Consider the following 15,175-nt stretch of genomic DNA (forward strand, 5'->3'; position numbering starts at 1 on the left):
ACGGGCATCGGGAATTTTAAAAGACCTTGGTGATCCTAAAGTGCAGGTAAGGTTGAGAACTGCTGCTCTAGTTCAATATATAATCAGGTATACATTAACGTTAAAATGTGTAGGTGTTCAGAGTTCTGATTTTTAACCATAGCACCATCTCAAATATTATAAAAGGTTGAAAAAAGAGCCTAATTTAATCAACATGGATAAATTTCAAAAAGCATGTTGAACGATACAAGCCAGACACAAAGAGTACTTATTGCTTTCTATTTACATAAAGTTAAAAATAATCAGAACAGGGGGAGGGGCTACTGACTAGGAAGGGACGCAAGAAGGAAATTCCTGAGAGGGAAATTTTCTCCATTTTGATTAGGGTACACGTATATATATATATATATATATTTATCAAAACTCACAGAAATGGACAATTGAGCTCTGTATGTATGATTTCATTACATGTAAATTTACACTTCAGTAAAAAGGATAAACAATTAAATCTGGATATCTATGACAGGGTCGGGGAGGGAGAGATTATTACTTCAGACGACCCCAAATCCTCATGGGTTAAAAGAAACAGCAAACCCCTGACCAGAACTGGCGAGAATGGAGAGTAGACAGCAGGGAGGGCCAAAGCCTAAGAAATCGCTACAAGACTAGATGCCGAGTTCGAACTACTGCCTGGACGGCAGCGCCCGAGCGCCCGCAAAAATAAGCCCCCGTGCCATTTCCGGTACTAGCAAATCCTCCTGTATGTCCCCACTGGAAGAGTCCGGTGGGAAACCGTGCCACCGCAAGGAAGGAGCCGGCGGTAGCTTGGTTCCTGAGCGGATGCTGGGGCTGTAAGGCGCGCGCGGTCAGCTGTTGGCGGTGCAGGGAGGAGGACGCCGGGGCTCGCCTTCCCTCCTCTGCCGCCGCTGCCGCCATGATTCCGGTGTCGCTGGTGGTGGTGGTGGTGGGTGGCTGGACTGTCGTCTACCTGACCGACTTGGTGCTGAAGGTGAGGGCCTTGGGCCTAAGGTCCAAGCCCGCGGTGCCCATGGCCGGAGCGCAAGGCCTTCTTTTCTCTTCCCCTGCCTGGCGCCTCCCGGGCTGGACGGTGCCCACGTGCGACAGTCCGCGTGGTGGATCGGCCCGGTGGAGTAAATAAAACATTGCCGGCCGCGGGAGGGTTGTGGCGGCCTGCGCGGCTGCCACTGTCGCAGTGCGGGGCAGTGCAGGCCCTTCAGCCTTCGGGTCCTGCCCGGGAGGCGCCAGTGGTGGGATCGGGAGGGCCGGGGCCCTGCCAGACCCAGCAGCTGCAGTGCAGCAGGGAGGAAAAGAAAACGTCTGCTTAGTAAAGACAGTGCTTTCCCTTATTGTTTTTAAGTTCAAAACGCTCTAGAGACTCAGATATTGGAATGAATCTAAATCAAGTCGTGATTGAAATCAGTAGTCTCAAATTTTTAAATGCATATGATCATCTGGTTTGCGGTCAAAATGCAGATTCCGATTCAGCAGGTCTGCGGCAAGGCCTAAAATTCTGCATTTCTAACCAGTTCCCAAGTGCTACTGATGCTGCCAGATCACAGAGTGTACTTCAAAGTAGCACACTCAAATAGCAAGGATTTACATAACCAGTTTCTAACTACTTGAATTCTGATTTACACGCTGCACCCCACTTCTTCACACTAACCAGATACCCTGGGTGCACGGTCCATTTTCCAGTTATTTGAGAAGGGTAGCAAAAAATCAGGAAGAGTCGTCTGACCACATGCTTCAGGCAAGCTTTTGGAATTGAGTACTGGGGGGTAGGGGATGGGGAAGAGTAACTATATATGTGGAATAAGATCATATAAATTCTCAAGTGTTTAATAAAAATTCCAGTTATGGATAGCAAAATCTTCATGTTATGAATACCATTTAAAATAGAAAACCATAGTATTGCATGTTTTAGCTTTAACAATAAAATGAAATGAGACTTTTCCTTCTATCATTTAAACTTGTAAAGTGCAGGAGGTTACATAGCGTAGTCCTTAGATCCAGGGCTGGGCTTCTAGCCAATGTGACCTTGGGAAAATTGCTATCTGTGCCTTGGTTTCTCATCTTTAAATAGAGATAATAGTAAGGATCTCCTAAGATTACAGAGAGAATTACATTAGTGTATCCACATAAAGTCTCGCTCCTCAACTTGAGGTTCAAGGACCAGTAGCACTTGCATCATTTCGGAGCTTGTTAGAAATGCAGAATCCCAGGCCTCACCCCTGACCTAGGGAATCCGAATCTGCATCTTAGCAAGATCCCAGGTGACTCCTCTGCACCTGTTTGTGTTTGAAAAGCACTGATGTGGCCGGTCACAGTGGCTCACACCTGTAATCCCAGCACTTTGGGGGAGGCTGAGGTGGGAGGATTGCCTGAGTCCAGGAGTTTGAGACCAGCCTGGGCAATATAGTGAGACTTTATCTCTACAAAAAATTTAAAAGTTAGCCAACCATGGTGGTGCATGCCTGTAGTCCCAGCTACTCTGGAGGCTGAGGTAGGAGGATCTCTTGAGTCTGAGAGTCAGAGGTTAACAATGAAACAAGATCGTGCCACTGCACTTTGGCCTGGGTGACAGAGCAAGACCCTGTCTCAAAAGAAAAAGCACTGATTTAAAGTACTTGGCATAGTGGTTAACGTGTCATAAGCAATACAGGCCACAATGATTTTGTTGTTTGAAAAAGCCACATGAGCCAGGCATGGTGGTGCAGCCTGTAGTCCCAGCTACTTGGGAGGAAGAGGCGGGAGGATCGCTTGAGGCCAGGAGTTCCAGGCCAGCCTGAGCAACATAGTAAGACACACACACAAAGCCACATGATTTCTTCATGTTGCATATGTGAAAAAAATCTAAAATAAAAAGAACTTTTACAGTCCCTAGTCACAAGTGTGTGAGGTGACCAAGATGTCACTGGTTTCAGTAACAACCCCTAGCTCCTTAAGAATGCACCAACCTCTGAGCAAAAGACCTAACGCCTACTCAGAGTATCTGCCTGGGAAATGGAGAGACCTCAACTTTTAGGAGCCTGCACCTTTAGTTTCTCTGCCTCCAGCTTGGTCTGCTGATCCACCCTGGGCTTTTCTAGGATTTCTGCATAGACATCTGTTAGAGAAGTTGTGTCACTCCTTTTCCAAGTCTTGGAAAACAAGTACACTTAAAATTTAACTACCTGAAGACTGAGAGCAGATAATACTACAGATCCAAAGCAAACAGCTACCTATATTCAGACTATGGTCATTTTTTAAGACTATGATAGGGCTAAGATTTCCTTCTTGGACAGATAAGTTTCTCACATGGGTGGGCATGAATATGACAATACTTACTGTACTTACTGTGTCAGGTATATAACACAGCCTTATGTCATCCAAAATCCTATATTAGTCAAGGACTTCAAACTTCCCTAAAGGTAAAACTCTTGTTGGGGCTGTGTATAAGCCCCTATCCCCACAACCCCAGAGAATTTAAGGGACATTATTGAGCCCAAGATGGCTTTAGATAAGTTTTTTACTTTTTACATGATCGAGGTTGGCCTAACTTCTTAGAGTTGTTGCTCAGAAGAAGAAAGCAAACACTGATCGCAACTGTCCCTTCTCTTGGATTGGTAGGGTTTTTTTTTTTTTAAATTATAACACAAGGCTTCTGGACCAGTGCTGTCCAATATGGCAGCTATTAGCCACATGTGGTTATTGAGCCTTTAGTCAGAGCTAGTCCAAACTGAGATGTGCTGTAAGTATAAAGTTGATGTTGAAATTCAACGAAGTAATGCCCCCCCCAAAAGTAAAGTATCTCACCAATAGTGTATGTTGATTACATGTTGAAATATCTTGGATATTTTGGGGCATAAGTATACGAAAATTAATATTTAAAATTTGGCTGTTAGAAAATTTAAAGTTATATATGTGGCTTACATTTGTGGCTCACATTATATTTCTATTGGACAACACTGTTCTAAGCAGGGGTCAGCGAACTTTTTGTAAAGTGCTTGGTAGTAAGTATTTTAGGCTTTTTGGGCCACAGAGGGTCTCTGTCGCATATTTTTGGTTTTTATTGTCTTTTTATAATCCCTTAAAAATGTGAAAACTATTCTTAGCTCACAAGTTGTGTGAAAACAGTCTGTAGTTCGGATTTGGCCTGTGGCCCATAGTTTACCAGACCCTAATCTCAGTAGACCGGTTAGGTCTGTGACCTTTAATATTCTGAAGAATAAACATAAAGCTTTAAGATTATAAACATTTGGGAAGTCAGCATCTTAATTTCCTCTAGAAAATACTTTGTGTTATTTTCTTACACATTATAAATTGTTCTTCAAAATTGAGTGATGTAGAACTTTTCTTTCTCTCTTAGTCATCTGTCTATTTTAAACATTCTTATGAAGACTGGCTGGAAAACAACGGACTGAGCATCTCCCCTTTCCACATAAGATGGCAAACTGCTGTTTTCAATCGTGCCTTTTACAGTTGGGGACGGCGGAAAGCAAGGATGCTTTACCAATGGTATTCTTCATCTTCTTTTGTTTGGTTTAGGTTAATCATTAAGTGATCACGACAGACAGCTTGTTAAATTAACTATTTCCATTACTTTGCAGTTTTCTGAGTTTTAAAATATTGACAATATTAAAACTTTCTGGTTTTATATAACCTTATGGGATTGTATCATTGTGGCTTGCATACATTAAAAATCAAGGCATTTATGGCAATTTATAGTTAGGGGCTTTACAATGATCTCTGGGACACCCAAGATACAGGCAGGTTCTGTAGATGAGAGAATGTGAGGGTCAGGGGTGGCATGGTCTAGATTTCTTTTTGTTAAAAATTTAGCCCCAAATGGATTAGAGCTAAATGTAAACAATCAGATCATCAGAGTTAGCAGAAAATGCAATAGCAGATCAAAGCATACAAAGTGGAAAGAAGGATATAATAAAGATAAGAACAGAAATCAGTGAAATAGAAAATATACAATAGAGAAAATCAGCAAAGCCAAAAGTTGGTTCTTTGAAAATATTAATTGGGCCGGGCGCAGTGGTTCACACCTGTAATCCCAGCACTTTGGGAGGCTGAGGCAGGTGGATTGCTTGAGGCCAGGAGTTCGAGACCAGCCTGGCCAACATGGTGAAACCCTGTCTCTACTAAAAATACAAAAATTAGCCGGGCATGGTGGCGCACGTGGTCCCAGCTACTCGGGAGGCTAAGGCACAAGAATCCTTGAACTTGGGAGGCAGAGGTTGCAGAGAGCCAAGATCACACCACTGCACTGCAGCCTGTGTGACACAGCAAGACCCTATCTCAAATAAATAAATAAATAAATAAATAAATAAATAAATAAATAAATAGAAAATATTAATTGATAAACCCCTACCATGACTGATGAAGAAAAAAGAAACGTAAGTAATTAAAAATGAGAATTGAGGCCAGGCACAGTGGCCCATGCCTGTAATCCCAGCACTTTAGGAGGCCGAGATGGGCGGATTGCTTCAGCCCAGGAGTTCGAAACCAGCCTGGGTAACATGGCGAAACCCCATCTCTACAAAAAATATAAAACTTAGCCAGGCGTGGTGGTATGGGTCTGTGGTCCCAGCTACTTGGGAGGCTGAGTTGGGAGGATCACCTGAGCTCTGGGAGGTGAAGGCTGCAGTGAGCTGTGACCGTGCCACTGCACTCCAACTTGGGTGACACAGTGGGACCCTGTCTCAAAAACAAAAATTGGAATTGAAAAGAGGACATTACTACAGATTCTATAGGCATTAAAAACATAGTAAGACTATTAAGAAAATTCTATGCCTATAAATTTGACAGTTTTAGTGAAATAAACAAGTTCCTTGAAAAGCACAACTTACCAAAGTTAGAAAACATGGCAGATTATCTCCACTATACAATGGTAGCTTTTAATAATTAAAACAATAGAAAAAAGAAATTATTATTAAATTATACCATGTTAATATTTAAGCTCATTTTATCACAAAGTAAAGCTGAAATACGATGCAGACAATAGAAGAGGTAGATGAAAAAGGATGGATGTCTATAACGTCAAAAGGGCTTTCATAACGATATAAGGACAAGATCAAAACAATATTATGTAAATGAGCAAGTGCATGAGAGGAAACAAACTTTTTTATTGGGAATGATATTCAGATTCTTTAGTTATCAGAGAATTATAAATTATAAAACTGCTTAAACTAGTGCTCATGCTGCAGTCAAATATTTGAAGTTCATGTAGGAAAAAGAAGCAGAGTTACTGAAATTTTTTAGCCATTATTTTAAAGCTATGAAATGTGGCTGCTTAGTGAATTTGCTAGTCCATGAATTGAGAGAAATTGTAAATTAACATGATTTTTTTCCCTTTTGACAGGTTCAATTTTGGAATGGTGTTTGGCGTAATTGCCATGTTTAGCTCATTTTTTCTCCTTGGAAAAACGCTGATGCAGACTTTGGCACAAATGATGGCTGACTCTCCCTCTTCTTATTCTTCCTCCTCTTCTTCCTCTTCCTCCTCTTCTTCCTCTTCCTCTTCTTCATCTTCTTCCTCTTCCTCGCTTCACAATGAACAGGTGTTACAAGTTGTGGTAAGTATCGTCTTTTCGCTTTAAATAACTATCGAAATAGAGATGCAAGATACCACTTATGATCTAGTGTAACTCCTATCCATAATATAAATATGAAAATAAATTAAAAGTCTCATAATTTTCAAATTACCTGCTTACACAAAAAAATTAATAAGAATACAGCAAGGAATTGTTGAAATATTTGGTAGTAGTTGTAATATTAATGGTAAAAGAGAACAAATGAACCATCATTAAGACTGTCAGCAATTAAACAGATACGTGACTGTCTTTTTAAGATATTAAATGATTGTTATTTTCAAAGAATAGGCATGCTGATTTAAGATCTCTATAATGTATAAGTAAATTGCATTCTAATTATATGCAAAGTGTTTCCCTTTCCTTTTCATGGCCTTCAGAGCCTAACCAATAATATCCTTTTAATTAAAGATATAAGACCTTTCTGAATGGTCACTGTGATTTCTTAATGTGAAGAATAATGTGCTGAGTTGTACTCCTTTAAAACTCATGTGTAGACCTATACCTTATCATTTTATGTCTCCAAAGTTTGGAAGGGGGCTTTACATTGGCTCACTTTTATTTCACATTTTTACATTTATAGTTCCCATTTCCATGAGTCATGGATGTTGTTTTTAATCATGTTCTTATTAATGGAGTAGACTAAGGATTAGTAACAGATTGGGTTTTTTTTTCTTGTCTCTTTGTGTCCTCTACTAGGCTGGGTCACTGGGAAGATTTAGAAGTCATTTGTAGAGAACAATAATCTCTCCTATGGCCATAGCTCTTTTTTAGAGATTAAAAAGATTTAGCAGGTGAGGCCTCAGAAGAAATTATTTCTTTCTTCAGCAAACATTCCCTGCCTTACAGATGAGAAAATCAAGGCACAGACACGTTAAGTCACTTGCCTGTGGTCACAGCTCATAACTAGTAGATCCATCATCACTGATCTTACAGCCTATAGACATTATGCTCTATTATTATTTTATTATCATTATTATTATTATTTGAGACGGAGTTTTGCTCTTGCTGCCCAGGCTGGAGTGCAATGGCGCGATCTCAGCTCACCACAACCTCCGCCTCGCGGGTTCGAGCGATTCTCCTGCCTCAGCCTCCTGAGTAGCTGGGATTACAGGCATGCACCACCACGCCTGGCTAATTTTGTACTTTTAGTAGAGACGGGGTTTCTCCATGTTGATCAGGCTGGTCTTGAACTTCCGACCTCAGATGATCCACCCGCCTTGGCCTCCCAAAGGGCTGGGATTATAGGCATGAGCCACTGCGCTCGGCCTATGCTCTACTTTTAAGAGAGACAAATAATTCTTCAAGGAACTATAAGTAATTTTACTTACAGTTTTAAACCTCTAGGTATATGGTGGGAGGATAGGTGGGACTGGAGGCAAGAGAACAGGATAGTGCAGGATATAAGGTGGGAGATACAGGTAGGGTCTAGGTTATGAAGTTTATGTTTTACCTGTAGGTAGCAAGTCTGTACAAAATGGACCAAAGTCATTAGAGTGAAGATGTGGAGATCATTTAAGAGCAGTAATTTATTTTAGAAGTGATAAAGATATAAAATTAGTGGCAAGGAGAATGAAGGGGATGGATTCAAGTAAGCTTTTGGAGTGGAATTCTCAGACATTGGTGATTAATTAAATGTGAGGCTGGAGGGAGAAGGAAAAGTTTAGGATGACTCTCAGGTTACACAATTGGTTCTTGTTCAACAAGAAAGAGGGTAAGAGAGAAAGAAGCCAGTTGGAGAAAATATGATCACTGGCTTATCTGCCTGCTAGAATTAGAATGGCAAAACGTTGTTTAGAGAAGAAATTATTTCTTCTCTTTGCCACTCAGTTTATTCATAGTACTCACAAAAATGTCAGCTCTATTAGGAGATCCGTGCTTTGGAACCATTAAGAAGTCAGCTGCCCTCTGGAGCCCACCATGCATATTCATGTATAAGTTTAAGAATGTTATGAATCCTGACTTTGACATGAGCTCTTGTAGCTTAAGTAACATACTTTCTGTTTACTCTATAATTCCTGACAGCCTTGTTCAGTATTAATTCTCCAAACCATGGCACTCTGTGTTGTTGAAAGTATTCTGTATTCAGTATTCTGGTACATCTGATACCCTGTGTGAATCATGGCAGAGACAGATGGGCAATCGTGTACTGTTGCCAGCAAATAAGACCTACCATCTGTTGGTATTATCACACATTCAAATTCTTACTTTATCTCACTCACTAGTACATGCAGAAAATAATAAAGAGAAGGAAGAAATATCCTATTGGACCAAGCTTACTGATTTATTTGAAATAAAGGTAAGGTAAGCAGGATATTTTGTGATATAGAGGGTATGTATGACAGTCTTAAGTATGTAAATTTAGAGAGGGGTCAGAGAAAAGTATAATACTGGAAAGATGTCTGACAACTTAGGAATGGAGCAGGTATATAAAAAGGGACATAGAAGTTCTTGAGAAAAGTTGCTCAATAGGGTCCAAGTAAAGAGAATTTCAGATAATGAACATTATAAACATATCCATTTCCTTTGACTCTTTACCTCCACATCTGGGACTCTAGCTTAAGGAAACACTTTCAAATATAGAAAAAATAGTATTCATTAAGCTCTTTAGCCTAACATTATTTATTATTATGAAGAATTAAAAGCAACCAAAATATCTAATTGAGGAATGGTTAAATTATTGGATTGTCATTCAATTAGATATTATGCACACATTAAAAATGATTATAACTAGTTTCGGCCGGGCTCAGTGGCTCACGCCTGTAGTCCCAGCACTTTGGGAGGCCGAGGTGGGTGGATCACCTGAGGTCAGGAGTTCGAGACCAGCCTGGGCAACATGGTGAAACCCCGTCCCTACTAAAAATACAAAATTAGCCGGGTGTAGTGGCGTGTGCCTGTAGTCCCAGCTATTTGGGAGGCTGAAGCAGGAGAACTGCCTGAACCTGGGAGGCGGAGGTTGTAGTGAGCCAAGATCACACCATTGCACTCCAGCCTGGGCAACAAGAGTGAAATCCCAGCACTTTGGGAGGCCAGGGTGGGTGGATCACGAGGTCAGGAGATCGAGACCATCCTGGCTAACATGGTGAAACCCTGTCTTTACTAAAAATACAAAATAAATAAATAAATAAAAATTAGCCGGGCGTGGTGGCGGACGCATGTAGTCCCAGCTACTGTGGAGGCTGAAGCAGGAGAATGAGATGAACCCGGGAGGCGGAGCTTGCAGTGAGCCGAGATCGCGCGACTGCACTCCAGCCTGGGCGACACAGCGAGACTCGTCTCAAAAAAATATATAAATAAAATAAAATAAAACAACAACAACAACAAAAATGATTATAACTAGTTTCTTAACTAGAGAAAGGACACTTGGAATTAATGGAATTTAGAAAATGATTCAAGCAGCATTGTTTGAATCTTCAGTTACTAAAGGAAGCTTTTTAGATGAGATTTCTGTGTCCATAAAAATAAATTCCAGTTGAATTAAAATTAAAACTTGAAACCATAAAAGGCCTTGAAAGAAAAGACCCATGTTATCATTTTTATGAGCACAGAATGAGGAAGACATAGAGCGAATAGTAGAAACCATGAATATTTTTTATGTAACAGTAACACCTTTATTTTTTATTTTTTAAATACTTTATTAGAGCAGTTTTAGATTCACAGCAAAATTAAGAAGGTACGGAGATTTCCCCCCTTACAATGATGAACCGACGTGAATATGTCATTACCACCCATAGTTTACATTAGGGTTCACTCTTGGTGTTGTAGGAAACCATGAATACTAATAGATTTGACTACCTAAATTTTATATATCAAAAACTAAAAACAAAGTAAAATTAAAAGGCAAACAAACTGTGGAATACATTTATGTCATGTATTACAAAGGACCAATGCTGATATTTGAAGTGATCTTACGGATCAGTAAGAAAAAGTTGAATACTTTAGGAGAAAACAAGTCAGGTTATCAGTAGGCAACTCGCAGAAGGACCAAAAAATGGTCAAAAGTACGGGGAAAGTTCAGCTTTACAAATGGTCAAAGAAATGTAAATCACATTGCAGATTTGAATAAAACGAGCTTGCCCAAGGTTATGAAAGGGTCTGCTTTTAGAGTATAATTTGATGACATGTATCAAAATCTTTTAAATTTTGTGTAATAATAGCATTTACTACCCTCTCTGTGAGGCATAACATTAAACATTGGACAAAGATTAGCTCATTTAATCCTCAAAATTACCCTTTTGTGCAAATGTGGTTATTTCCATTTTAATGATGAGAAAATAGGAATGTTGGAGGAATAATGCCAACTTTCCCAAGGTCATTTAGCTAGTTAAGAGATAGAGACAGGACCGGCCGGGCGCAGTGGCTCACGCTTGTAATCCCAGCACTTTGGGAGGCGGAGGAAGGCGGATCACGAGGTCAGGAGATTGAGACCACGGTGAAACCCCGTCTCTACTAAAAATACAAAAAAAAAAAAAAAAAATTAGCCGGGCGTGGTGGCGGGCGCCTGTAGTCCCAGCTACTCGGAGAGGCTGAAGCAGGAGAACGGCGTGAACCCAGGAGGCGGAGCTTGCAGTGAGCCGAGATCGCGCCATTGCACTCCAGCCTGGGCGACAGAGCGAGACTCCGTCTCAAAAAAAAAAAAAAAAAAAAAAAGAGACAGGACCTCAAACCCATAACATGTCTCAAGAGCCCAATCCCTTAGCAAGTATGCTCATCTAAGAATTTCTTCCTCCAAAATATTTAGGTGTGTGTGTCCAAATATCTTTATCACATTATAAGAGCAGAAACTTAATTAAATGCCCAACAGTTTATTCCATAGAACACAGTGTAGCTATTAAAAATCATATTGAAATAGAAAATACTCATGGGAAGACGTCTGTGATACTGTTAAGTGAAGGGGCAAATTTCAAAACCAGATTTATAATAAAAGTATAGTTTTTAAAATTATGTGTACAGGAAAAGACTAGAAGGACATACATCAGAATGGTTCACAATGGTTTTATATGTGTATGTATGTTTGGGGAGCAGAATTTTAGGCTTCTGTTTTGCTTTGAATTTTCCAGTTTTCTTGCTTTAAACATATTTTTTATAATTAATATAATTATAAAAGAAAGCAGAAATTTCCTCCAAAAGGATACCTTTTAGTCCCAACTCCTGGACTGTAAGAAATAGATTCTCAGTATGTAAATGGTATTCCTGAGCCTGGTGTGTCCCACTTAGCCTAATTTATTGTCTCTCTTTAACAGATGACATAACTTGGGAGTGATTACTTATCTTACGAGAATATATCTTTGCTATCTAAAAAAATTTGCTGTGCAGCTCTTATCTTCCCTTGTGTATGCAATAATATATACCTGCACATTTTAGGAGCACATGATTGTAAGACAACTCCTGCTTCATATGTTTGTAACATGTCTGTAGGTTCCAAATGCCTTAATTTCGACATTAAATTTCAATTTTAATGTATTTGTGTATCTCTTCCACACTATTTTTCTGACCAACATAGTAGACCAACTAATGGAATAGAAGGGTATGGTGCTCCCACACTGATCGGGATCCCTATTAGACCAGCTTTCATTACCAACTCACCTATAACTTGAGGATATTAAAATGAAACTCGCTGATTAATAATATGGAGTTCCTATATTAATCAACACAAGTACTTGGAACCTTGCAATAACAATTCAGCGGAAGGTCTAGGAATTTTAACAAGGATTCCCAAATCAGGCATCCAGCCCTTGAGGTTGGGTCAGCTGCTGCCTGCTTCACTGTCATCCTGCATTCCTTGGCACTTTGCTGGGCTCCCTCATTCTTTCCCAAGGTGAAGACTCCAGGAAGCTAACATCTCAACTGTTTAACCTGGTGTTTCTCATTCTCTTTAGACTGGTGGTGTGCTTGTTCCAGAGAAACTGGCTAGTTCGAAAAATGAAATAGCGTTTTTGCTTTTTATTATGATAGAAATGGAGAAGTGAACCATTGTCATATTACTTTTAGTTTGCAGAACATTCAGCTTGAAGGTTTAATACAGAATGAACATCATGTATCTTAGTGCCCAAGTGGGACTCCCCTGCACCCCCACTGATAATTGCTGCCATATTGTGTCTATGAACAGGTTCCTGGTATAAATTTACCCGTCAATCAACTGACCTATTTCTTCACGGCAGTTCTCATTAGTGGTGTTGTACATGAAATTGGACATGGGATAGCAGCTATTAGGTAATGATATTTACCTTTTTCTTTGTACTACATGCAAAAAAAAGCTTTTCATTTAGGAGGATTTATTACTAAAATCTGCTATATTTGATACTTCACTATTTTTCTTTCTGCGGCTATTGCCTAGTGCATAGCCATCATTTGTTACTTTGAGGAAGCTTCTTTTTTTATAGAGAAGATTAATATGTTGATGAATATGCTCCATTAACCATGGGCATATCTGTAATCAGGGTCTTTCTATCCTTTGCCTTTTCCAGTGTGGTTATCCTCATGATGCCTCAAAGTTTTTTACCAAGTCCTAAAAGCCAATCTTTCTGTTCATCGAGTCAGAATGATAACCACTGTACTCAAAACCCACTCACCTTAGAACTTGATTTGACTTATCAGCTGAAATAATTTCCTGCTTCTGCTTATGTCCTCTGCTGGCTAGAGCAAGAAAACTGAAAGCACTGGGTTTAACAAATATCATAGTCTATCTAGAAACCCAAGTGGAAGATAAGAAGACACCTGGGACTAGCTTTGAGTATCACTCCCTGTTCTTGGTCTTGGCTTCCCAAATGTATCATTGTAACTATACCTAAGCATTTAGAAGCCTATAACACATATAAAATCATGATGGGGAGAGGGCCACGTCATAACTCCCCTGCTACCTCCACTGATAATTACGGCCATAATTAGCAAGCATGCTAATAGGAATGTGTTTTATCCTTTCGGTGTGTGGACCAGAGAAAAGGTTAAAAACCTCTGTTTTGGCAGAGAAGATGTAATCACTTCTTATTACTTTCCAGTTGTTTATGAACAAGAGTCTATTTATTGGCAATAAATCCTCATCTTGACAGAGCATATACTGTTACACAGATGTGCACAATAGTGGCTTAAAGTGGTGGCTGCTGGGTTTTTTTTTTCTTTTAAAATCGCCTTCAGTGCTTTGCAGCCTTTAGGATTTTACCTATAGACACATCGTTAATAACAGCTTAACAATTTACAGTATGTTTGTAAAAATAACTTGGGTAATTTTTTTTTAAGTCCCAACTGCCAAGAAAAAAAATGAACTGTACGGTTGTCTTATATATTTAGTATTAAGCAACAGCACAATATATTTAGGTGATACTTTTTTCTAGGGGGGCTGTTTGGTTTTATGAGACTTAAATATTAATTTTTGGAAAATGAACTGATAAAAAATGGTTCTCTTTTTTTTTTTAATATGGAGATCAAAACCTGCTGAAAAAACTGGTTCTCTTAAGGACAATCTGAGCATTATGCATGTTTAAACATACTTATTTAACGTTAGCTTGATAGGAATACACCTAGATAAATCTCCACCATTATTTATAATTGCTAAGACAAATACAAGTTATTAGGTAATTTACTTGAATTATATCGTCTCCTATGTTCTTCTCTGAAAATAGTTCAGAGTAAACCATAAAAATGTTTTTCATTTAGTTTCTCATAAAAGCCATTTCTGTATATATGTGACTAACTTCAATTATTTGCTCAACATATTGGTTTCTAAAAATTTTGAAGTTATGTCTATTTCAGTATGCCCTATTTTGCAAAATTCAATTTCACAGATAACCAAATCTGTACATTATTATAAAATTAAGATTATATATAGTATAGATATAATTTTTTTGGCTGTTCAGAGAGACTTTCTGTTTTTTAAGCAAGAATTCAAATTACAGTGAAAAGTTTTAAGATTATGTACACTATTAATTTGATAAATATAATAGTATTAGTAAACTCCTTTTTCTTATGTGATTTCTTAGGGAACAAGTTCGATTTAATGGCTTTGGGATTTTTCTCTTCATTATTTATCCTGGAGCATTTGTTGATCTGTTCACCACTCATTTGCAACTTATATCGCCAGTCCAGCAGCTAAGGATATTTTGTGCAGGTAACAGACTTAATTTTGTTTTAATATTCATCTGTGGTTTTGGTTTTGATTTTCTATGGTTAGTGCTTTTTGGAAAATATATCACAAATGACAATATCTTATCTTTTGGTTAATAACTTCAGTTTATAAGACCCCTTCAAAAGTAGAGGAGTAAAATAATTTACATTCCAGTTGCTTCCTTAAAACCAACTAAAAACAACATAATTTTAAAAAATTTAAAAACAGAGGAAAACTTTGTTTTGTCCACAACATGAAATCACAAACTATGAAGAATGTCAACTCAGCTGAAATAGAATGAAATTTGCATCAAATCAAGGGAGAATATGAAGAATTGACTAAGAGATAAATCAAAAGTATCCAGGAATGGAAAAAAAGGGTTATGAAAGGATGAGTAGTGAACTCTAGCACTGTCAGAGTTCAATCAGAGAAACAGAATCCCTTGGAGATGGAACCACAGTTCCAGCTGAGTGAAACTGACATACGACAAATCCAT

The 15,175-nt window shown here is 38.9% G+C and overlaps 1 protein-coding gene across 1 annotated transcript in view, besides 2 other annotated features; it reads left to right on the top strand.

The window, feature by feature from the left end:
- Positions 760-929: an enhancer, noted in NCBI's record as "active region_29485". NCBI's record gives its function as "activates an Ori minimal core promoter by ATAC-STARR-seq in GM12878 lymphoblastoid cells {active_cell/tissue: GM12878}" and the evidence as "EXISTENCE:reporter gene assay evidence [ECO:0000049][PMID:35858748]".
- The window catches only part of MBTPS2 (membrane bound transcription factor peptidase, site 2), a 45,807-nt gene continuing 31,427 nt past the window's right edge, over positions 796-15,175 (top strand). Inside the window, exons 1-5 of the mRNA NM_015884.4 lie at positions 796-988; positions 4,349-4,497; positions 6,350-6,563; positions 12,688-12,791; positions 14,555-14,682. Coding sequence (NP_056968.1) covers positions 914-988; positions 4,349-4,497; positions 6,350-6,563; positions 12,688-12,791; positions 14,555-14,682 — 670 coding nt within the window. The 5' untranslated portion in view covers positions 796-913. The remainder of the gene's footprint in view (positions 989-4,348; positions 4,498-6,349; positions 6,564-12,687; positions 12,792-14,554; positions 14,683-15,175) is intronic.
- Positions 950-1,099: an enhancer, noted in NCBI's record as "active region_29486". NCBI's record gives its function as "activates an Ori minimal core promoter by ATAC-STARR-seq in GM12878 lymphoblastoid cells {active_cell/tissue: GM12878}" and the evidence as "EXISTENCE:reporter gene assay evidence [ECO:0000049][PMID:35858748]".

The sequence above is a fragment of the Homo sapiens genome, chromosome X (genome assembly GCF_000001405.40).
Source record: "Homo sapiens chromosome X, GRCh38.p14 Primary Assembly".
In the NCBI taxonomy this organism is placed as follows: domain Eukaryota; kingdom Metazoa; phylum Chordata; class Mammalia; order Primates; family Hominidae; genus Homo; species Homo sapiens.